Source organism: Homo sapiens, chromosome 2, assembly GCF_000001405.40.
Source record: "Homo sapiens chromosome 2, GRCh38.p14 Primary Assembly".
In the NCBI taxonomy this organism is placed as follows: Eukaryota; Metazoa; Chordata; class Mammalia; order Primates; family Hominidae; genus Homo; species Homo sapiens.
This window is the reverse complement of record NC_000002.12, coordinates 171,976,587-172,000,748: the sequence shown is the minus strand read 5'-3', so window position 1 is coordinate 172,000,748 and position 24,162 is coordinate 171,976,587. Positions and strand designations below refer to the sequence as shown.

General features: G+C 40.4%; 2 protein-coding genes and 1 long non-coding RNA gene across 11 annotated transcripts in view, besides 1 other annotated feature; 1 reads left to right on the top strand and 2 right to left on the bottom strand.

Annotated features, from left to right (window-relative positions):
• Positions 1-796, bottom strand: part of METAP1D (methionyl aminopeptidase type 1D, mitochondrial) — an 82,478-nt gene extending 81,682 nt beyond the window's left edge. For 6 of the 7 annotated variants that reach the window (NR_136273.2, NR_136276.2, XM_047443870.1 and 3 more), the window contains exon 1: positions 740-796. Coding sequence is in view for 2 of the 7 variants with exons in the window: in NM_199227.3 (NP_954697.1) it covers positions 740-779 (40 nt within the window). In the remaining 5 variants the exon portion in view is untranslated. Of the gene's footprint in view, positions 1-689 lie in introns of all 7 variants that reach the window. The other variant, NM_001322279.2, reaches the window with a different exon arrangement.
• Positions 802-1,101: a silencer, noted in NCBI's record as "silent region_12106". NCBI's record gives its function as "represses an Ori minimal core promoter by ATAC-STARR-seq in GM12878 lymphoblastoid cells {active_cell/tissue: GM12878}" and the evidence as "EXISTENCE:reporter gene assay evidence [ECO:0000049][PMID:35858748]".
• On the top strand, positions 840-24,057 carry LOC124905590 (uncharacterized). The gene is made up of 3 exons (XR_007087296.1): positions 840-1,070; positions 9,307-9,402; positions 23,291-24,057. It is a non-coding gene; the product is annotated as an uncharacterized LOC124905590 (long non-coding RNA).
• Positions 17,063-24,162, bottom strand: part of HAT1 (histone acetyltransferase 1) — a 61,226-nt gene continuing 54,126 nt past the window's right edge. For all 3 annotated transcript variants that reach the window (NR_027862.2, XM_006712808.4, NM_003642.4), the window contains 2 exons: positions 21,386-21,502; positions 17,063-17,564 (listed from right to left, as the gene is read on the bottom strand). Coding sequence is in view for 2 of the 3 variants with exons in the window: in XM_006712808.4 (XP_006712871.1) it covers positions 17,397-17,564; positions 21,386-21,502 (285 nt within the window). In the remaining variant the exon portion in view is untranslated. The remainder of the gene's footprint in view (positions 17,565-21,385; positions 21,503-24,162) is intronic.

Below are 24,162 nucleotides of genomic sequence, written 5' to 3'. Positions count from 1 at the left end.
TAATAAACAGTAGCTGTTACTATGAAAATAATATTTACCTCACAAAACTGTTCCTACATGCCTGACGCTTAAGTAGCTCCTCAAAATATGATAGTTTTCCTCTTCCCCCGTCCTTGGAAAAACTTTCTAGTTCTTTCCAACAAAGATTCAGCACCTAGTTCAAATCCAACAAAGATTTCCCCAATTCTGCTGCAAAGGCATTTGTATATTTACTAAAATCTCAACACTCACGCAGGATAAAACCTACTTAGAACTACCCAGACATCCTTTCTTATCTTCTTAACTTTAAGTCACTGGAAGAAAACCATCACATTTTGCAAGTCCCCAAAAAGCATGCCTGCATAAAAGCTCTAGGGAAGGGAACCGGGTGTCCAGATGCATTTCAGAATTACCATAGGTTTCCTTGCTCGGCATACAGAATAAATGTTGGTTACACTAATGATACAACCGAAGTTGGGGAAAAAAACTTCAGACAATGGCCCGCAAATCTCAAGGAGTAATTGCGAAAAGATGCCACGTGGTGACGTGTTCTAGGCGGGTGATCAGTGAACAAATTTGTATGTGTGATCCTGTGGTGTGTGAATGTGTCATCGTGTGTGCCTGCGTGTGTTCGTAAACACTGAAAGTACAGTCGTGTGCGCCGAGAAGTCTGAGCGCGGGTGCGCATCCCTTTGGACCCGGGTGCGTACCTAGTGAGCAACCGTGCGAACCCTCACGGGGCTCTCCTCCACGCGCTTACCTCTGCGGACGAGCAGGTGGACGCCACTGGGCGCCGCCATGTTGGCGTCGGTCACGTGGCCGCGAGCACTCGCTCGCCGCCCCGCCCGCTGGAGCCGGCCAGTCGCAGCCCTGCCGAAGCCCTGAGGCGTCGAGGCCGCCCGAGGGGAGCGCGCGTGCGCGCGCGGGGCTGACTGCGGGAGCCCTGGCTGGGAAGCGGCTAGGGCACCCGGGCAAGCAGCAGAACCCGCGGCCGGCTGAGTCCTCTCCAGCCGCGAGAGGCGGGCTCCAGCCGCGGCTCGCGCGCTCGCTCTGAGCCCCCGCGCCCAGGTGGGATGGAAGAAGCCTGTCAGGTAAGCGTGGCATCCAATATTTATAGCATCAACATTTTGGTGCATGGAAACGTGAAGTTGGGCGGAAAAAATAAAGCACAATCTAGTGTTCAACATAGCACTTTGTATCGTCTGCCACTCTGTTGCAAATTATTCCCCTGGATTCAGTTGAAAGGTAAAATTTGGTTCAAAGTCACCAGCTCCCCTTTTGCTGTCCCAGAATCTACATTACTCAGCAGAGACTCCAGACAACACAGGATCTGTGTGTCGCTGCAAAATCTATTCTAGGTACCCCAGTGGGTATGTTCAGGAGACTTCTCTTTCTCCAAGGACGCCTTCTGCTTGGCAGTATTAACTGGAGTCTTAATCCTAAATTTGGAGTTTAAGTATAAAAGGATGACGCCTGCCAATTGCATTGCCAAGAGAAGAAGCCTACAGAAGGCCAATTGTGAATCAGATGAGGGAGCTGATGTATGCCTACTGATGACGGTGCCCATTTTTACCAAATTCACTGTCTCTCTTACCTGTGTTCTGGGGTAGATGCCATCCTGTCATGGACCAGGTGTTATTCATCTTAGTAGCCTCCGTGCCCGGCACAGAACCCGATACCCGAGGAATGTCAGGTGAAGCAATTGAACACTGCATGAAACCAGTCAAACTGAGAATGTAACCGTTTCCAGACTTTAAATGCAGTGAAGATTGATTAGGATTCTCAGTGAATGTGTGTGATGTCTTCTAATTAATTTTTAAGCACTACACACTCAGTGAATAATCTAGACAATTCAGAACAATTCAGAAATAAGGAACAAGTGCAAGCCCCTTCCTCGCCCTCTGTACATACCATAGTCCCACTCCCCAGTTAACCACCGTGTGCTCAATTGAGATCTTTGCCTTTTACACACAGGCAAATGTAAGTATTTTAAATAGAATCATATGACTTGCTTTTTCCATTCCAGTCATCATAGGCATCAAATCTTAGAACACTTAGTTCAGACTTATTCTTTTTAATGACTATATAATCTTGATATTTTTACTTTTAAAGAGAGTGAATGTTGGCATTTCATTAGAGGACACATGCTATAATTCTGGAAAACCTGGTTTTGGATGCTTTTGGGTCACCTTGAAAGATAAAGAGAAGTAATGCTTTCCATCAGGGTAAATAAGATGCACAAGAATGAGAATAAAATGTACTCCTACCTTTTGCAAACTCATTTCAATTCCAGGGAGAGCATTTTTGAATGTGGCAAATCTGTCCTCTGTGTAACTGAGGCCAGCAATCTGAGTGCAGCAAAGGAGCCTGAGAGTTAGCTGGCCACAGAGTCTTAAGCAGTGTACAGAAAAAAGAAATCTAGACATCCCTATTCCTTAAGGCATCAAGCCTAGTTTCAAACCCATCTGAAATAGAACACATGTTCATGTGACTTAACTCAGCCAACCCTTGGAAAATAAATGAATGCTTTATTCCCCTACAACTAAAAGGAAAAGGAAACACTATGAGGACCCAGGTGGCACCAGCAGTAGTGGAATCCAGTGAGGAAATCCTCAATAAGTTCGGCATGGAATGTAGATATCTGGGATGAGCTAGAAATGAAGCAAATATGAACTTGCACAGGTGATAGCTCATCCACTGACCCTGGATCTGGCTTCTCTCATACACATCCTTCTCACCGCAGAAGGGTTAAAAGCTGCCAGCACATGTCCGCCAAAACCATCAACTTATGGGATATAAGCTGGGTGTGGTGGCTCATGCCTGTAATCCCAGCACTTTGGGAGGCGAACGCAGGCAGATCACTTGAGGTCAGGAATTCGAGACCAGCTTGGGCAACATGGTGAAACCTGTCTCTACTAAAAATACAAAAATTAGCCAGGCATGGTGGTGCATGCCTGCAATCCCAGCTACTCAGAGGCTAAGGCGGGAGAATCACTTGAACCTGGGAGGCAGAGTTTACAGTGAGCCGAGATCCTGCCACTGCACTCCAGCCTGTGCCACAGAGGAAGATTCTCTCAAAAAAAAAAAAAAAAGGGATATATACATAGTGACCAACAAGATAAAGGGCTAGATCACTGATATCTAGGATCCCTTGCAATTTTAACATTCTGTGATCTTGAGCATTAGAGTGCTTTTATTTAGATGAGTAACCGCTACTGAGTCACTTCTCTACTCCATTTCTGTCCGTGCTCCTATCTGTGAAATGAAGGTTAATTATATTATGGCACTTCACTGATTTGAATTCTTACCATTAGTCAGATTTTGTACTTAGGATTCTTGAATAAAAAATTGAATAATTCGGCCGGGTGCAGTGGCTCACACCTGTAATTCCAACACTTTGGGAAGCCAAGGCAGGAGGATTGCTTGAGCCCAGGAGTTGGAGACCCAGCTGGGCAACATAGTGAGACCCCGTGTCTACAAAAAATTTACAAACTAGCTAGATGTGGTGGCACATGCATATAGTCCCAGCTACTTGGGAGGCTGAGGCAGGAGGAGCGCTTGAGCCCCGGAGTTTGAGGCTGCAGTGAGCTGTGATTGTGCCACTGCACTGTAGCCTGGGCAACAGAGCAAGACTCTGTCTCAAAAAAAAAAAGTTGAATAACTTTTGAAAACCAGGGTTCAAGAAATAAAGGATAACTTAATACCTTCAGTTTATGTCCAAAAATTCATTCTTGAATGTTAAAATATTTTGATTGTGATTATTATTTTATAGGTCTTTACCTTGATTTTCAAAAGATCATGTCTTATTCACATCTTTTAAAATCTTTTTATTTATAAAAGATATAAATCAAATAAATTCCAATATGCATATTTTTGAAAAACCCATTTTTCCTTCCTCCTTCTTGAACTTAATATTATAGACTTATACCATGAGTGTGTCTAAATTTGTAGTTTGTAATAAAAGTTAAATTATGCAGGTTCTGTAATGTATGTATTGAATTTTTAATTGAATATTTGCATTTTTAAATGCTCTAAGGGATTATGTGACATGAAGTAAATAATTTTTTAAAAATGTTTGTCTTATAGTAAATAACATCATCTTGTAATTTGTCTCACAAGTTTAGATTTATATATATATATATTAGGATTACTATAAGATATTTGAAAACACAGGCTGGGTGTGGTGGCTTATGCCTGTAATCCCAGCATTTTGAGAGGCCGAGGCGGGCAGATCACCTGAGGTCAGGAGTTCAAGATCAGCCTGGCCAACATGGCGAAACCCCATCTCTACTAAAAGATGCAAAAATTAGCCGGGTATGGGGCGGGCACTTGTAATCCTAGCTATTCGGGAGACTGAGGCAAGGAGAATAGCTTAAACCCTGGAGGCGGAGGTTGCAGTGGGCCAGGATGGTGTCACTGCAGTCCATCCTGAGCGACAGAGGGAGACTCTGTCAAAAGAAAGAAAGAAAGAGAGAGAGAGGGAGGGAGGGAGGAAGGAAGGAAGGAAGCAAGGAAGGAAGGAAGGAAAGAAGGAAAGAAGGAAAGAAGGAAGGAAGGGAAGGAAAGAAGGAAGGAAAGAAAGAAGGAAGGAAGGAAAGAAAAGAAAGAGCACAAACCATGAAATAGGGGCCAAGGTGCTTACATATCTCTAATAAAAAGCTGTTTTATGTGAATACGTTGTAAGATTAACTGATATAATGTGGCTGCTGGGGGAAACTGGTACCCCGGGACCACACAGCTTCAGCGCAGTTGTCATCTAGACCCAGGGGCCTCATTCTCCCTTCCTGACCCTGCCTCTTTGTTTTGCCATCTGAATCCGTAAAGTTAGCCTTTTGATTTGATTTCACGATCATTTCTTAGCAACTCTGTGGTTGGAGAAGAATCTCCGATCTTGGCCTCTAGTTTCTCTAATTTTAATATGTTGGTATGCTACTTGTTTACATATTTTAAGTCAAATGAACATTCTTTTCAGGAACTAGGAGTTCTGCATAAACATAAGCCGCATGTACAACAAAGATCTGTCTTAGTAGCTGATTGGGCCCCTCTAAAGTTAGCGTCTATGTTTGAATGATTATAGGTTCAGGCAGACAGTTTCTAGGGCACTCTCAACTAACTTGCTGGCAGAATGTCATGTTTCCTATACCAATCATTTGAGACAATCATGAATATGTTACTGAGTAATCTAAAGGTACTGTTAGAGAAAATGTGTAAATATTCCATGTTTTGCGAGGAAAAGTAATGCCATATGTGAGACAGTTGTGGAAAATCAAGTGGATTTATCTTTGCTGTTTGTGCCCTGTTCCTTGATCTTTAGCAGTGCCAAGAGGGAGCCAGGACAAGAGAAGGAGGATGTTAGTTGCATGTGATCCTCCTGCCACTCTCATTTTTTATTAGTCTAATGACATTTTCCCAGTCATATAATTCCTATGCAAATGATACTTTAAGCCCCACCCCTTCCTAATGGGATTGCCCTACCTGAGCCTCTTCCATACTGAAATTCTGAGGATTTCAGGGATCTAGAGCCATTTATAGGCATAATCCAAATGGGCTCAGCAAATAGCATGCTGCAACCTCCTGAGCAGTCTGTCAAGGGAAGGGGAGTAGAATGGGACCAGACAGGGCTAACTTAACTGTAGGGTAAGACCAAAACATTGCCCCAAGGAAGTTGTTGATATCAGGCCCAGTCTGGCTAGCATTCGTTTCAAGTTTGTCCAACGCTTTGGCTTAAAAGATGTTATAGGAGATGTAAAAACAGCAGTAACACTCCAACATAGTAACATATCCATTGTTGGAGCAGTAGCCCATCTAGAATCGTGGCAGGAGCTGAGGGAGCGAGGGAAGGGAAGGGACGGCTATAGGGAAGAGCATGGAGATGGTCCCAGACCCTTTTCACTGGTGCATTAAAGCTTTCTGATAATACTGCCTGCTTCGGTCAGAGTTGGCTTGGGAACTGTGCAGGCTTGAGGGACAAGGCTTCCCTGACCTGATGTCTTGGGACTGACTCTGAGTGTTGGGTTAAAGCAGAAGTGTGCAATTGCCTCATGGAATCTAAATGAAAGTGTGAACCATAAGAGGCTGCCATCCATTCCCAAACTGCCAATGCCTGGAAAGGTAGTTCCTGCTTATACACTTCCAGAGAATGAAGATTCCATTCAGAATAGGGGGAAAAGGCAACAAATTCCCAAGCGAATCTAGCAATCAACCAATCAATAAATATGTAAGTGCTACTCTAAGCTCCAAGGAGATATGATACTGTCTTTATTCTCAAGAAACAAATTGGAAACGAACTGTGCAGGCTTGAGGGACAAGGCTTCCCTGGCCTTGAATTAGTCTCAGCTTTCCAATTTGTTCTTAAGAAACAAATTGGAAGAGACTAACATGCTCACAAGATTGTCCATAAAACAAGACCAAATTGTACCCTCTTGACTATAAGCCCCATGGAGCAATGCCAGGGGTCACAGATTGTAGCCATCCCTGGCTGCCAGGAACTGAGGAAAATGGTGAACTCTAATTATCTAAGTTCCCAGGAAATTATACCTATTTAATCTCCTTCCTTCAAATATGTGCTCTTTGAAAAACATTCCAAAAAAAAAAAAAAGAGAGAAATGTGTAATATAGAAAATAGAAGTCCCTCACATTCAGGTAATTACTGTTAACAAATTGATGTATATTCATTCATCTGGACTTTTTTTCTATGCCTATACTCATTTGCTGGCCTTTTTTTTTATTTTTTGAGACAGGGTCTTATCTGTCACCCACACTGGAGTGTGGTGGCACAATCATGGCTTACTGCAGTCTCAACCTCCTGGGGTCAAGTGATCCTCCTGCCTCAGCCTTCTGAGTAGCTGGAACTACAGGCACACACCACTACACATGGCTAATTTTTCTATATTTTGTAGAGACTGGGTCTCACTATGTTGCCTAGGCTAGTCTCAAACTCCTGGGCTCAAGTGATCCTGCCACCTTAGCCTTCCAAAGTGCTGGGATTATAGGCATGAGCCACTGTGCCCGGCACTATTTGCTGGACTTTCAAAGGGAAGATACCCATTTTTATCACGACCAGTCACACAGGTATATAGAATAAAAGACAGCAGACTAGGCAAGTCACATGCAAAAGCATGGGAACACACAATATTATTCATGTCTTTATTGCAGTCTACTGTGCATTCTCTCTCTTCCTTTTGCCTTCACTCTGCATCTGTTTCTCTTCTTTCTTTTATTTTTCTCTCTCTTGTAAAATTACTTATTTTCTTGTGGCTTTTTTCCCTTTCCCTCATGAAGTGATGATATTGGTTATCTTCCCATATTTTTCCATCTTTGTTTACTCTTTTGCTATATTTATGGTTCTATGTTTGCTGTTACGTTCTTAGTGGTTTTGGTTTAAAATATTTGGTCCTGTAGGACTGTGTGAGGCCAGTGCCTGTGGAAAGCAGTTTGATCATTAATATCAGAGGTTGAAAATGTTTGTAATTTTGCCACTTCCTGCATATAAGTATGAAATAGTGTTCCTTAGTCAGTTAGCAGTTACACAAAAGAGACTGCAATAAGAATCTCTGAAGTGGAGATCATGAAATAAGAAGAGATTTAATAATAGAAAGAGAAAACTAGCTGTATGTCCCTTTCTCCCCTCCCACTCTCCACCTCCACTCCCCAAAATGGCTGAGAAACTAAGCAGTAGTGCATTTTTTAACTTCTTCTGCTTGCCTCTCACTGAACACATTCTATACTCAAGACTGAAACCGTTGAAACAAACAAGAGGGCAGATGCTGCCACGACCTCTCTTCCCATTGAACTGAGCTCCTCTGTGCTCACCCCATCCACTTTAACCCAGAGAATAACCTGTGTGGAGTGCATTCTCCTCATCTGAAGCACACACAAACATCACTGCATTTTCTTTTGCTTGATAAAGGATAAAGGAAGAAAGCAGCAGCTGCTCTAGGACCAGACAGCAAACAAGCCTCTCTGTGGTAGCACCACGGCCTTCACAAAAGGGGATTCAGAGAGCCGGGCAAACACACACATCCAGCCCAAGACTTCCGCACAGATTCACCTGCCAAAATTATTAATTAAACATGTAACGAGCTGTCCAGGTGAACTGAGAGTCTAAAGCACATTTTCCAACTAGTCTTTTATTAAGATGGAGGAGCGAGAATATGGTTGAAGAACTAGAAATGGCTTCAAGATCACCTAATACAACTCTAACCCTACCCCTTCTAATTTTAACATAAAGACAGTGAGACCCAGGGAGGTTATAGAAGATTTATTCCATTTCAAGCCTGTATATATTTTAACACTGGAGGTTTTTAAAAACATTTTTTTTACATTAGTACAGCACTCCTTGCAGCTTCTTACACACAAGAGCTCAGCAGATATTCATAAATGATGATATTATACTTTTATTGCATTATATTTCTCCACTGGGTTAATGGGATGCCCAAAAAATTATGAAGTATGTTTTTCAGAGCTTTGGTTGTACATCCAGTGTCTACTGACTCATAAAACCAGTGTATCAAAGATGGAGACAATTTGCTTTGATAACAAATTTTTTCCAGATTCGTCTTTTACCAGGTAAGTACATGGTAAATTATGATTCCTTTGATAATCAGTTTCCTAAGAAAAGAATTGAGTATTGCTTTTTTTTTTTTTTTCCAAAGAAAGCTCTTCAGTATCTTTTGGTGAATTCTGCCTGGTCGAAGTCAGGCAGAGCACGATTTCATTTGTTAAGGGTGCCACTTGGTTGCTTTAGGTAAACTTTTATTTAAAAAATTTCCTGGATTTACAGTTTTATTTTATTTGACAGTAATATGGAGCTTCAGTGGCAGAACAATATACCTGTAGTAATATTAAACAGATTTTTATATCAAAGACATATATAGTGAAAAAATAACCATACAATTATAAAAAGGTTTACAATGAAAAGCAATAGGTCGGGTGCAGTGGCTTATGCCTGTAATCCCAGCACTTTGGGAGGCTGAGGCGGGCGGATCACCTGAGGTCAGGAGTTCAAGACCAGCCTGGCCAACATGGCAAAATCCTATCTCCACTGAAAATACAAAAATTAGCCAGGCATGGTGGCGTGCGCTTGTAGTCCCAGCTACTCAGGAGGCTGAGACAGGAGAACCGCTTGTACCCGAGGAGGCGGAGGTTGTAGTGAGCTGAGATTGCGCCACTGTACTCCAGCCTGGGTGACAGAGCAAGACTCCATGTCAAAAACAAACAAACAAACAAAACAATTCAGCATCAGAGCTTTGAAGATATTGTTCCATTATCTTTCAACATGCAGTATGGCTGATAAACTCTAATGCTGAATCCCCCTTCCTCTCCCAGGTTGTCTGTGTTTTCCCCTGTGAAAGCATTCAGGATCTTAATTTTATGCTGTGGATTCTGAACTTAATAATTTGGCCTGTGAGTCGATCTTTTTAGGTAAGTAACTTAATAATTTGGCCTGTGAGTCGATCTTTTTAGGTAAGTGGTAGCGGTACAGTGGTTGAGAATCTAAGTGAGTCATATTGCATGGGCCAAATTTCCAGCTCTGCCACTTACTAGCTGTGTGACCTTGGTGAAGATAACCTTCCTAGGCCTCACTTGAGGATACCAAGTACCTCAGAGGGTTGTTAATGAGAATTGAGATAACTCATGCAAGTGCTTAGCCAACAATAGAAAGTGCTCAGTAAATGTTAGTAACGCTGCTCAAACTTCAGGGAGCTCTTATAGTCTGAAGATTCATTTCTTCAACTTTGAGGCATTATCCTCTTCCTTTGGTTATGTTCTGTTTGCTCTTCCTCTCCGAAACGAAAATTATTGGTTATTGAATTTCCCACACTGATCCTCTGTTTTATCTTTTTTTCTCATATCTTCGGTCTCTCTTTTTGATGTTCTGGGAAATTCCCTCAACTTTATAGCTCAGTCTTTCTGCCGCTTGAGTTAGAGCAATCATTTTTAATTTCTCAGAGCTCTTTCCTACTCGCTGATTTTTTCCTTTTTCATACTGTTCTTTCATATATGATATGTCTTTTCTTACCCAGTTTTTATTTTAAACACTTAAAAAGATAGAGCAGGTCGGGCAGAATGGCTGACACCTGTAATTCCAGTACTTTGGGAGGCCGAGGCAGGCTGATCGCTTGAACCCAGGAGTTCGAGACTAGCCTAGGCAACATGGCGAAACTCCATTTATACCTCTGCCACCCCCCAAAAAATATGTATATATAAAATTAGCTGGGCATTGTAGTGTGCACCTATGGTCCCAGGTATTTGGGAGGCTGAGGTGGGAGGATTGTTTGAGCCCAGGAGGTGGAGGTTGCAGTGAGCCAAGATTGCACCTCTGCAATCCAGCCTGGGTGACAGACCAGGACCTTGCCAGTCAATCAATCAATCAGTCATACAGGCTGAAAGAACCATACTGAGAACACCTGTATTTAATTCCACCTATATTCAACACTTTTACAAACTTTGTCACATTTGCTTTATACACACACACACACACACACACACACACACATACATGCCCCAATACACAAACATATTTTTCTGGACCATTTGAATGTAAGCTACAAATGTCATGACTCTTTGCTCCTAAATGCTAAGGCATGTGACTCTCAGGAATAAAGACATTGTCCTACATAATAACAGTACCATTATCACGACTATGAAAATTAACAAAATTCCTTACCAATTGTGTCCATATTCAAATTTTCCTTCGTTGGCCAGGCACTGTGGCTCACGCCTGTAATCCCAGCACTTTGGGAGGCCAAGGCAGGTGGATCACGAAGTCAGGAGATCGAGACCATCCTGGCTAACATGGTGAAACCCCGTCTCTACTAAAAATACAAAAAATTAGCCGGGCATGGTGGCGGGCACCTGTAGTCCCAGCTACTCGGGAGGCTGAGGCAGGAGAATGGCGTGAACCCAGGAGGCGGAGCTTGCAGTGAGCCGAGATCGTGCAACTGTACTCCAGCCTGGGCGACAGAGCAAGACTCCGTCTCAAAAAAAAAAAAAAAAATTTCCTTCTGTCTCAAATATGTGCAAAATCTACCAAAATGTACAATGTCCATACCTTTTCACTCAGCGATTCAATCACTACTTATCCTACATACACACTCCCAAATATACAAAATGGTGTATACAAAAGGCTATTTGCTGCAGCATTGCTTGTAGTAGAAGATAGGAAGCAACCTAAATGTCCTTTAATACAGTATTGGGTCAAACATTGACATCGAGCTATGGAATATTATACAGTTGTTTAGAATTAAGGTGTTTAGAACTGAAGTAACATGTACTGGTAGAGATATGCATTAACTGGAAAAGATACTCAGAGTACTGCATGTAGTATATCAATATTTGTGTTTGTAATAGAAATGGACATTTGTAGACTGATAAATCTGGGGGATAAAAGAGAAACTGGTAAAAGTAATTGTAAAGAAGTGAATTGGGTGGCGGTGTGGGAGGGCAGTTTATTTCTCATCAAATACTTTCATAGATTTTAAATTTTTAATTTTTACTTAGAAAGCCCATGACTGCATTGATTTTTTTTTTACTAAGTATATGTTACATAATTTTAAAAAAATAGTGCTTAAAGTAGATGGATATTCAATCCCATAGAACAATGATTCTCAATGAAGGATGATTTTGCTCCCCACAGGACATATCTAGAGACATATTTGGTTGTCACAACTAGTGGTGGGGGTGGCACTACTGGCATCTTAGTGGGTAGAAGCCAGGGATGCTGTTAAACATCCCACAATATATAGGTCGGCCCCACACAAGAAAAAATTATCTGGCCCAAAATGTCAGTAGGACTGAAGCTGAGACACCCGGAAATACAGTGATTCTTAAGGATGCAAAGGTTTGAGAAGAGCTAAGCAAGACTAAAGGAATAAACAGAAAGGTGCATATGCCTAACCATTCAAATCATTGTGCATTTAAGATAAGGCCAGGCACAGTGGCTCACGCCTGTAATCCCATTTTGGGAGGCTGAGGTGGGTGGATCGCTTGAGCTCAGGAGTTTGAGACCAGCCTGGGCAACATGGTGAAACCCTGTCTCTACCAACAACAACAAAAATATATAAAAATTAGCCAGGTCTGGTGGCACTTGCCTGTGGTCCCAGCTACTTGGAGGGGCTGAGGATGCAATGAGCCGAGATCATGCCACTGCACTCCAGCCTGGATGACAGAGTGAGACCCTGTCTCTAACAACAAAAAAAAAGGTAATTCAAATTTCTAGCCATGAAAGAGATGGTTGGATAAGTCCAATATGCTCCTGTTTGCATAGAGTTTATTCAAATTGGGACATTATAAAGTTCCCACAACCTTAGTTTATGGTGATAATTTTAACTGTTGTAAAGGTAGTAGAGTCACTGTAAGAGTGAGGTTAGACTAATGTCCATGACTTCTAGGACTTTCATCTATTGGTATACTTGTATATGTATGCATAGCACATATACAATAGGCATTGCAGCATTGTTTGTAAAGGAAAATATTGGAAACAACATAAATATGTTACTGGTAGAGTAATGTATGATATATCCACACAATGGAATACCATGCTGCCATTAAACAAGATAGCTCAAATAATCCCCAAAAGTAAAAAAGCAGTTAGAAAACGTGGTAGGTCATCACATATACATATGGTATATAAAAAATATATATACATACATGCTCCCTTTTGCATGTATCTCTGAAAGATACACAAGATATTGATAACTGGTTGTTTCTGGAGGAATGCAGTGAGGAAATTTTCACTGCATGCCCTGTTGCTTTTTATTTCCGTGTGCATACTTCCTATTGAAATATCACATATACGTAAACACAGCTCTGCCCAACTCAGTGAGTAAACTAAATGCACTGTATAATTCCACCACACCTCATAAAACAAGAATGAAATATTTATAATAGAAATGTAAAGGCATATGGGAACACAGAAAAGTTGAAGATTAAATGTTGAGAGGAAGAGTAACTTCAGGCCATATTTCAAGAGGCATTGATAATTTCAGTCATTGCTATCAAACAGACTCTTAAGGTTTTTTGTGTTTTTTTTACTTTTTTCTTATTTTTAGAGATGGGGGTCTCTCTACGTTGCTTAGGCTAGTCTTGAACTCCTGGGCTCAAGCTATCCTCCTGCCTCAGCCTCCTAAGTAGCTGGGACTACAGGCATGTGACACCAAGTCCAGCTTTTTTTTTTTCTTTTTTTTTTTTTTAGAGGACAGGGTCTGGCTTTGTCACCCAGGCTGGAGTACGGTGGTGTGAACATAGCTAACTGCAACCTTGAACTCCTAAACTCAAGCGATCCTCCCGCCTCAGCCTCCCAAGTAGCCTGGCTTGCACCACCACAGGTGTGCACTACCAAGCCTAATTTTTCTTTTCGTTTTGTTTTGAGATGGAGTCTCACACTGTTCCCTGGGCTGGAGTGCACTGGTGCAATCTCGGCTCACTGCAACCTCTGCCTCCCAGGTTCAAGCGATTCTCCTCCCTCAGCTTCCCAAGTAGTTGGGATTATAGGCGCCTGCCACCATGCCCAGCTAATTATTTTTATTTTTAGTAGAGACGGGGTTTCGCTATGTTGGCCACCAAGCCTAATTTTTAAATTTTTTTGTAGACGGGGGCTTGCCATGTTGCCCAGGCTGGTCTTGAACTACTGGCCTCAAGCAGTCCCCCACCTTGGCCTCCTAAAGTGTTGGGATTACAGGCATTAGCCACCGTGCATGGCCGAGAATACTTTTCTTAATACTTGCTCCTCTAAAAGTCCCTCTTAGAACAGCCTAGTGGGCTGGCATGCTTACTTGGCTGGCCTACTTGATGGAAGATGAGATGGAGTAGAAGTCAGGAGCCTAGTGTATATTCCTGGCTTTGCCAGTTACTTGTAGTGTGGCCTCTGGATTTACTGTCCATTTATAAATTGACAGTGTAGACTGCAAAACATACATTTTTTAAAAAAACAGGTAATTCATATCAAGGAAAAGATTTTACACACGCACACACAATTCAACCTTCCCAGTAAAATAAATGTAAATAAGATATTTTATCTATGGAAACAACATCCCACGTCATTGAAATTCTGTTAAAATTGGTATATACATTCACATCGGGTAGTATTTTAACGATTCTGCAAAATATGGCATGTTTATGTAATAGAGCCATAGACATATTCTTATCCTTTAACTCAGTTAACTACATTTCCCAGGAAATGATTTCACAGATACAAATATATACATGCACAAAGATATACTACTATGTTCCAAGTATATACACAGAGATATACAAATGCAAAAATAATTTTATTTGGAAGTATTGAGTACTTTATTAAATCAGTATTTAATAGTTAAACTGGCTTTTAAATTCTAAGAAAAAGAACTTAAGAATTTAAGGAATTAAATCAGTTGACCTCTCAGGTGTATGATTCTAATCTTGTTATCAAATATGGCCTTAGTAGCTTTGCTGCCAGCTCTTCTCTAGTAGGTAAAGATGGCAGTTAATCAGAAGGTCTGATAGATTTTCAGCCTAGACAAGGCTCTGGTACAACAAACTGGGGCCCCAGCAATTTGGAGACAATCAGGGACACAGTCCTTTTTCCCTCCCTTCTCACACAAACTATGTCACGTATAAACTATGAATATCCTTGTGTGACTTAGAAAAGTGTTTTATTTTAGACATATACCACATCTACACCCACATCTGAGTATAAAAGTATAAGGGTAAGGAGAAAGGATATGAAAACGACAAACACAGAACCTAGAACAGGGAGGGAGTGAGCCTAGAGATCATTCTAGTACAACCTCAGTTTCACAGATGAAAAACCTGATGCTCAGAAGGAAATATATGTAGAGAAAACGCAATTTATAGAGGACAGGGAAAAAGTAAGAGGCCGGGCACAGTGGCTCAACGCCTGTAATCCCAGCACTTTGGGAGGCCGAGGGCAGATCATTTGAGGTCAGAAGTTCAAGACCAGCCTGGCCAACATGGTGAAACTCTGTCTCTACTAAAAATACAAAAATTAGCTGGGCATGGTGGCTCAGGGCTGTAATCCCAGCTACTTGGGAGGCTGAGGCAGGAGAATTACTTGAACTCGGGAGGCAGAGGTTGCAGTGAGCTGCATTCCAACCTAGGCAGCAGAGACTTCGTCTCAAAACAAACAAACAATAGGAAAATCAGCATCACATTTTCTTTCTGGTTTTTATACAAAAAAAAAATCTTGAAAGATAATTGGTTTAGATGGTATTGATGCTTTCTTCAGAGCTCATCTTTAAGTATCAGCTGTGAACTGTCAATAAAAAAATTAAAAATTAGCCAATTTAGATGAAAGACAAATTGCTTTCATATCATTTCAGAAAGGATTTTAACTGAACTAGTTCATTTTATCTGTAGCAAATTATGTACACAGATATAATCTCTCAGAAGTCAACAAGTTTTATCTATATACAGGCTTCTGAGATGAGATGGTTTGAAACTTTTATAGCTCCCTCATTTTAAGGGAACAGTAGTGCTGTTGGTATGCTGCTGGCCACAGCTATTTTGTGTCCAGAGGCTACCAGTTACTTCTCTGACAGATTTTACGGATGGAAATTGATCAAAGGACGAGATAATGCCTGTCCAACTTGGGATTCTGCCCCAAGCATCCATCAAATCAGATTTTTAAAAGTAAATTTCAACTTACATCCTGTTTTTGTTATATAATACCTTGTTTACTAGCATACATTATAAACATCTCAAACTTTTACTTTGAATGATTCTGTTTCCAGCAATCTATTTATACTCTACTTCATTAAAAACAAGACTATATTAAGCAGTTTGTCATTATTTTTTCTTGCTGTATTTCAATACCTTGGTAACCTTACAGCAAATCCGAACAGATGGGCGTCTCACTTTACACAAGATATATTTTAATAATGGTGTGTAAATTGTATTTTATACACTGATTTCTATCTTCTATTTTTATTTATAGAATGTTTATGCTAACTTCTAAGTTATCTTCAAATAATATTTGATGCCAAAATTTTGGCTTTTAGGCTGTATCTAGTTTGATTTCCCTCGTACCTGCCTTCCCAAACAGTTAATAGAGTTAATAGGATTTTATTTAAAACAAAATAAAACCTATACTAAGAACATTTCCTATTATGAAAAATCAGTAAGAACTTAAACTACAAGGAAAAAACCAAACAACCCCATTAAAAAGAGACGTGAACAGACACTTTTCAAAGAAGACATACGTGTAGCCAATAAGCATATGAGTAAAAGCCCAATACCACTGATCATTAGAGAAATGTAAATCAAAACCACAATGAGGTACCATCTTACACCAGTCAGAATGGCTGTTATTAAAGTCAAAAAATAACAGATGCCGGCAAGGTAGTGGAGAAAAGGGAACACTTATAAACCGTTGGTGGAAGTATAAATTAGTCCAACCACTGTGGAAAGCAGTGTGGCAATTCCTCAAAGAGCTAAAAACAGAACTACCATTTGACCCAGCAATTCCATTACTAGGTATATACTCAGAGGAATATCAATCATTCTACCATAAAGACACACGCATGCAAACATTCACTGCAGCACTATTCACAATAGCAAAGACATGGAATCAACCTAAATGTCCATCAGTGACAGACTGGATAAAGAAAATGTGGTATATACACACCACAGAATACTATGCAGTCATAAAAAAGAACAAGATCATGTATTTTGCCAGGACATGGATGGAGCTGGAAGCCATTGTCCTTAGCAAACTAACACAGGCACAGAAAACCAAATACTGTATGTTCTTACTTAACAAGTGGGAGTAAATGATGAGAACACATGGACACAAAGAAGGGAACAACAGATACTGGGGCCTACTTGAAGGTGGAGGTTGGGAGAATAGCAGAAAAATTAACTATTGGATACTAGGCCTAGTATCTGGGTGTTGAAATAATCTGTACAAGAAACCCCCAAGACACTAGTTTACCTATGTAACAAACCTCCACATGTACCCCTGAATCTAAAAGTTAAAAAAGAAAGAAAAATCATATTGAAAAAATAAAATTACCAGGATAACCTTAAAGAAATGTTTTAAAGGTGTCAGATGTAAAATCTTAGAAGCAAAGTGTGGAAGGAATGATAAGTATTTAAGAATGAGGTTTATTGTAAGTATTTAAGAATCATATCATCACACATTAACATATCACAACTAAGCATTTATTATACTGTTTAAGAAGGGAAGCAATTGCAGTAGTATTTCAGAAGCTTTATCTTTCTTTAAATGCAATATATGCTCATAAACTCTAAACAGTATTTTAAAATATACAATCTCTCCAAAAGAAAATATTCAACTAAAGATAGATAACTTTTAGTATAAGCAAAATGTCACAAGATTTTAAAATTAAAGTCATCAGATTTTTCACAGCACATTGTACAGAAAATTTGCAAGCTTCCTGTACAGAGCAGTATAATCTTTACTCTTGAGCAAGTCGTTCAATAACACGCCGGTAATCTTCCACTAGTTCCTGAAAACTCTCTTCCAGCTGTTCATGTTGCATGCTTATTTCTATTTGGTTCATCTGGTTTGTCAGTTCTTCTGGTCTGAGACATTTTCTCATCTTAGCAAGATCTCTCTGCTTTTTCTAAGTGACAAACAATTATTTGTTAGACGAAGAAAGTAAATATATTTCCTTATAGTCTTACAATTTTAAGTCTCCAATGTTAAAAATAAGAATAGTATGAATACGCCCAAACTTGTCCCACAATGTTTTTTTTTTGTTTTGTTTTGTTTTTTAAGGAAGCTTAAACATAATGTTAACCATGAATTGCAAACCCTCTAAAAAGAGTTAACAAGAAGACCTGGTATTTGTGTCCAATGATGGTAAATACAGACATGTGACTAGCAGCCCCCTCCAAAACTTTAAAGAACTCTGGGCAGTATAGACACTCAAATATTTGCTTAATAGATAGAAGACATTAGCTGAAGAAAGACAACTGAGATTAAGTGCTATTATTCTTCATTTTACTATTCAGTCATTAATTAATTACATTTTAAATTCCACCCAGTGAAGTACTTACGGGCCACATGCTAATTTTAACATAAACTGTTAGAAATGTTTCAGAAAGACAAATGGAAAACTGCTATACTTTAAAAATATATTAAATAGCATTTGAGTCTTTATTAAGTTCCAGACATACATTATCATACTAAACCCTCCTGGTTTGACTTAGGATACCGCTATGCTAAGGAGTTTGCAACAGGTAGCTGATAACAACTTTTATGCAGGACACTGTGTCAGAGATGTTTAGGATGGGACTGGAGGACTGGGCAGCTACTGCAGTAGTTCAAGCCAGAGTTGATGAAAGCCTAGATCAAGTCAGCAGCAGCAGAGATGGAGAGGACAGGGCAGATTTAGGGGAGAAAATACTGGGTGATATGAGGAAGGAAGAATGAAGAATAACTCCAGGATTCCTGGTTGGGTGGCATTATTGCAAATATGAAGCTTTCATGTTTCGGATATACTGTTCTAGAACTCCTGGGCCCAAGTGATCCACCCACCTTGGCCTCCCAAACTGCTGGGATTACAGCCATGAGCCACCACACCCGGCCCAGTTCTGGCCTTTTAGACTGGTGAACTGGCTGGACAGGTAAAGGTACTTAATAATAATATAAAAAAGAATTATCATTCTTTAAGAGTAGAAAATACTTGCACTTATGAACTACAGAGGTTCCCATTATTTGGCATTAGCTGTGTGACTACTATTTGTACTCAGAATTTCCATCTTTCATTTGTTATATTTTATATAAAAGTCACATTAATATCTAAAATATATAATTCAATAAATTATTTTACTTTAGTAAAATCTTAATAACTCTTAAATGTTGCCATCTATACTGCTCTCTGTGCCCAAATTTCATCATTAAGACATTTTCTAGCTAACAAATATTACTTAAAGGTCAAAACCTTTGGAAAATACCATTTTTACCCATTTTCTGATGTTTCTGAATTGATAACATCAAATAATAAAATGCTACTTTGGATAACTTTTGAGGAGACCATTATAATTTATTACAAACCTGCTATATGCAGATGATGGTCTGTAAAATAGAAAAACTATTAAACTGCAATGAAATGACACTATGAGGAACTATTCATACATCTGTGTATGAATTCAAGATAAAATGATTTAGTCATAGGCAAATAATAATTTTATATTCAGAATGTGAACAGAATTACAATGACAAATTAGGAAATACAGTTGCACTGCAAAGTAAAAAGATGCTATGAAGGAAAAGTTGGGATTCAGCAAGTAGTGTCAGCCAATGAACCATCAGCATTCAAGACTGGCTCTATAAAGCAGAATCCATGGCAAATAAAACTTAAATTTTCTTTAAATTTACAAAGGAAAACCAAAACTATGTGTACCTGATACAGTTAGTTAATTTACTTTCTCAAATTGTAATGTAGAATCAACTTGGTCACTTATGTTCCCAGCTATTGTGATGTATAACCCTATAGGTATAGTATATATAAATGCAGCAACAACATTTTATCATTGAGCAACTGTACTCAATAATTATATGTTGAATAAATTAAATATTCTGCCAATCATCCCACTACTCAGCTGCAACTAGATGACAAATTTTCTTCTTTTTTGAGATGGAATTTTGCTCGTCACCCAGGCTGGAGTACAATGGCGCAATCTTGGCTCACTGCAACCTCTGCCTCCCAGGTTCAAGCAATTCTCCTGCCTCAGCCTCCGGAGAAGCTGGGATTACAGGCACCTCCCACCATGCCTGGCTAATTTGTGTATTTTTAGTAGACACAGGGTTTCACCATGTTGGCCAGGCTGGTCTCGAACTCCTGACCTCAGATGATCTGCCCGCCTCAGCCTCCCAAATTGCTGGGATTATAGACGTGAACCACCGCACCTGGCCTTTTTTTTTTTTTAAATTTTTTTTTTTTTTTTGAGATGGAGTCTTGCTCCATTGCCCAGCCTGGATTGCAGTGGTATGATCTCAGCTCACTGCAACCTCTGCCTCCCGAGTTCAAGTGATGCCCTTGCCTCAGCCTCCCAAGTAGCTGGGATTACAGGTACCCACCACCACACCCAACTAATTTTTGTATTTTTAGTAGAGGCGAGGTTTTGCCATGTTGGCCAGGCTGGTCTTGAACTCCTGAGCTCTGGTGACCTGCCCACCTCGGCCTCCCAAAGTGCTGGGATTACAGGCATGAGCCACCACGCCTTGCCTAGATAGCAAATTTTCATTCACATAAGGTGGCATAAACAATATCCATCCTGACAATGTCCAAATGATAAGGCCAATTTGATCTAGGAGGGAAAATATGGAAGATGACGACGAAGTGGGAAAAAAGGGCAAGAAGAATGTTTAAAAATATAATAGTACTAACATGGTTTCGGCTATGGTAAAGTACAAAGATTATATTAATAAATAGCAATAAAGGCTATTTTTAGGAAGAAGAAAGCAAAAGCAAAGAGAATATATATGTATAACTTTGCTTTTATCTGGGAAGAGAGAAAAAAGAGAATATATATATATAACAACTGAGAAGACAAGAAACTTGGGAAAAACAACATAATTTGTTAGGGAAGAGACTAGGCATTCAGATTTTTTAAAGATGCATACAAATGAAAGAAAAGCTAACCATGGTAGACTATCCTTGGGATAAGTTTGTTTGTTTGTTCTGAGACACAATTTCATTCTGTCACCCAGGCTGAAGTGCAGTGGCACAATCTCAGCTCACTGCAACCTCCACCTCTTGGGTTCAAGTGATTCTCGTGCCTCAGCCTCTCAAACAGCTGGGATTACAGGCACGTGTTATCATGCCCAGCTAATTTTTGTATTTTTAGTAGAGATGGGGTTTCGCCATGTTGGCCAGGGTGGTCTTGAACTCCTGACCTCAAGTGATCCACCTACCTCGGCCTCCCACAGTGCTGGGATTACAGGCGTGAGCCACTGCACCCGGGTTTTTTTTCTTTTCTTTTCTTTTCTTTTCAGATGGAGTTTTGCTCTTGTCACCCAGGCTGGAGTGCAATGGTGCAATCTTGGCTCACAGCAACCTCCACCTCCTGGATTCAAGCGATTCTCCTGCTTCAGCCTCCCAAGTCACTGTATTACAGGCGCCCACCACCAAGCCTAGCTAATGTTTGTATTTTTAGTAGAGACAGGGTTTCACCACGTTGGCCAGGCTGGTCTTGAACTTCTGACCTGAGGTGATCCACCCGCCTTGGCCTCCCTGAGTGCTGGGATTACAGGTGTGGGCCACCACGCCCGGCCATGAGTGAGAATTTTTATAAATTACTGGAAGAATATTTCTACTTTTGTAAAAGTTAATTTTACAAAATGACTTGGACTCTCTCATATACTGATATTTGGTAGCTTTTCTTCTGTTTTAAACAGTGAAAAGAATACAGTGTTTAAGATTCTTGAAAGTCCTACCTTATATGGGCTAATTAGTCTTCTTTTAATATCCAGTCTGTAGCTTCTGTATTGTTCGGCATCACTCATGTCAGTTACCAGTAGTCGAAGAATTTCATAAACCCTTCTAGCGTGTTGCTAGAATGAAACAAAAGAAAATGCGAACATTTTCAAAGTAAAAATAATGACACTTTCCCAAAAGAACACAGGATATATTTAATATCTGCCATGAGCAAGGAATTGTGCTAGAAACCAGAGGAAAGGCAATAAAAGTAGTTGCCCTCAAGCAGTCTAGTGGGTAACACAAATGATTATGGTATGGATAATTTAATGTGGCACGATCATAGTTCACTGCAGCCTCAACCTCCTAGACTCAAGCCATCCTCCCACCTCAGCCTCCTGAGCAGCTGGGACCATAGGCATATGCACCACACTCGGCTATTTTTTTTTTTTTTTTTTTTTGTAGAAATGGGATCTCACTTTGTTGCCCAGGCTGATCTTCAACTCCCAGCTTCAAGCAATCCTCCTGCCTCAACCTCCCAAAGTATTAGAGTTACTGGCGTAAGCCACTGCCCCAGCCTTCATGACAGATTTTAAATAGGAATGTAAGCAATATGCACAAATTTTGAGTTTTAAATAAGTCACTCTTTCAGCTACAAAGAAATGGTAGCAAAAAGAAGTGCATAGAGACCAATCAAGAAGCTGAGTTATTACATCACATAAAAAACGATGAGGGCATGAACTGGAACAGCACAAGAAGACCAAGGGGTCAAGGACTCTAGAAACATATGAGAGGAAAAACTGAGAGAAGGATGTGAAAATGTGAGTTTTCACAGCCTAGGAGAGATTTGGGAGGCAGCAGAAAATAGAAAATCTGAAGAAAATTCTAGTCTAAGGGCAAGGATTTAAGCAATGTCAGTATATAGGTAAGAGTTAAAACCATAAGGCTGGTTAAGGTCACCTGAGGAAAGCATATACAGTGATAAAAGGAGAAAGGTCAGAAACCTGCTAGTACAGTGACAGTTAAAAAGCAGACAGGGCTGGACATGGTGGCTCATGCCTGTAGTTCCAGCACTTTGGGAGGCCAAGGTGGGCAGATCGCTTGAGCCTAGCAGTTTGAGAACAGCCTGTAGGAACCCTGTCTCTACAAAAATTAGCCAGGTGTGGTGGCGTACCCCTGCAGTCCCAGCTACTTGGGAGGCTGAGGTGGGAGAGTCATTTGAGCCCAGGAGGTTGAGGCTGCAGTGAGCCGTAGCCGTGATTACACCACTGTACTCCACCTCAGGTGACAGAGCAAGAGACCCTGTCTCAAAAAAAAAAAAAAAGGAAAAGGAAAAAAAAAGACAAATGGTATCAAGGAAATATCAGAAGAATCAGGAAGTTTTTGGTAGCACTGAAGCCAAAGGAGAACCACAGTTTTTCTGTTGATGTTGTTTCACTTATGTATTTATTTGGGCAGGGAGTTGGGGTATGGATAGGTTGGGAAGGTAATATTTTCTGACTTCCTGGAAGGGAACCTGAGTTGAACCTGAAAAAATGAGTACTATCTGGCCAGGCAATTAGGAAAAGGGAGTATTTCAGGTAAAGAGAACAGAATATGTAAAGGAATACAGAAGGAAGAAGGATGTGGCAGAGTTGGGAAATGGCTAGAAGATGAGTAAAGCCAGAGCATGTGGCAAAGTAGCCAGAGCATGTGGCAAAGTACTAACAGGCTGAAGCTAGCAAGGTAGGCAGGGTCCAGATTATCATGGGCTCTTTGTGCTCTAGGTAGGGAGTTTGAATTCTTTTTTTAAGAAAGCACCATTAAAAAAAAAAAAAAAAAAAAAATATATATATATATATATATATATATATATATATTCATATGCCTGTTCTTTTAAAAGCTGAGCTATTAAACAAATTTCTTTTCTTTTTTTTTTTTTTAAGATGAAGTCTCTCTCTGTTGCCCAGGCTGGAGTGTAGTGGCATGATCTCGGCTCACTGCAACCTCCGCCTCCCAGGTTTAAGCGATTCTTCTGCCTCAGCCTCCTGAGTAGCTGGGATTACAGGCACGCGCCACCACGCCCAGCTAATTTTCGTATTTGTAGTAGAGACATGGTTTCACCATATTGGACAGGCTGGTCTCGAACTCCTGACCTCGTGATCCACCCAAAGTGCTGGGATTACAGGCGTGAGCCACCTCGCCCGGCCTACACAAATTTCTTTTTTTTTTGAGATGGAGTCTCGCTCGGTCGCCCAGGCTGGAGTGCAGTGGCACCATCTCAGCTCACTGCAACCTCCGCCTCCCCAGGTTCAAGCAATTCTCCTGCCTCAGCCTACCGAGTAGCTGGGACTACAGGCGCATGCCACCATGACCAGCTTTTTTGTATTTTTAGTAGAGGTGGGGTTTCACCATGTTAGCCAGGATGGTGTCAATGTCCTGACCTCATGATCTGTCCGCCTCGGCCTCCCAAAGTGCTGGGATTACAGGCGTGAGCCACCACTCCCAGCCCATCTCACATACTTTCATAATCCAAATCCTACTCATTCTTCAAGGTTTATATCAAATGCCATCCTTTCTATGAAATAACCACTGATTTCCTTGCTTACATAAATGTAATAAACTTTCTTCTCTGAACTTCCATATTTATTTTTTCTGTACCTATCTTAAGACATTTACCACTTTAAAATTTAAATAAATATATAAAAGTATATAAAATGAAATACGTGTTTTACTTCAACCATTCTTCCCACCAATAATGTCTCCAGGGGTACAACTACTTTAAAGAGTAAAAATAAGATCCTATTATCCATCTTTC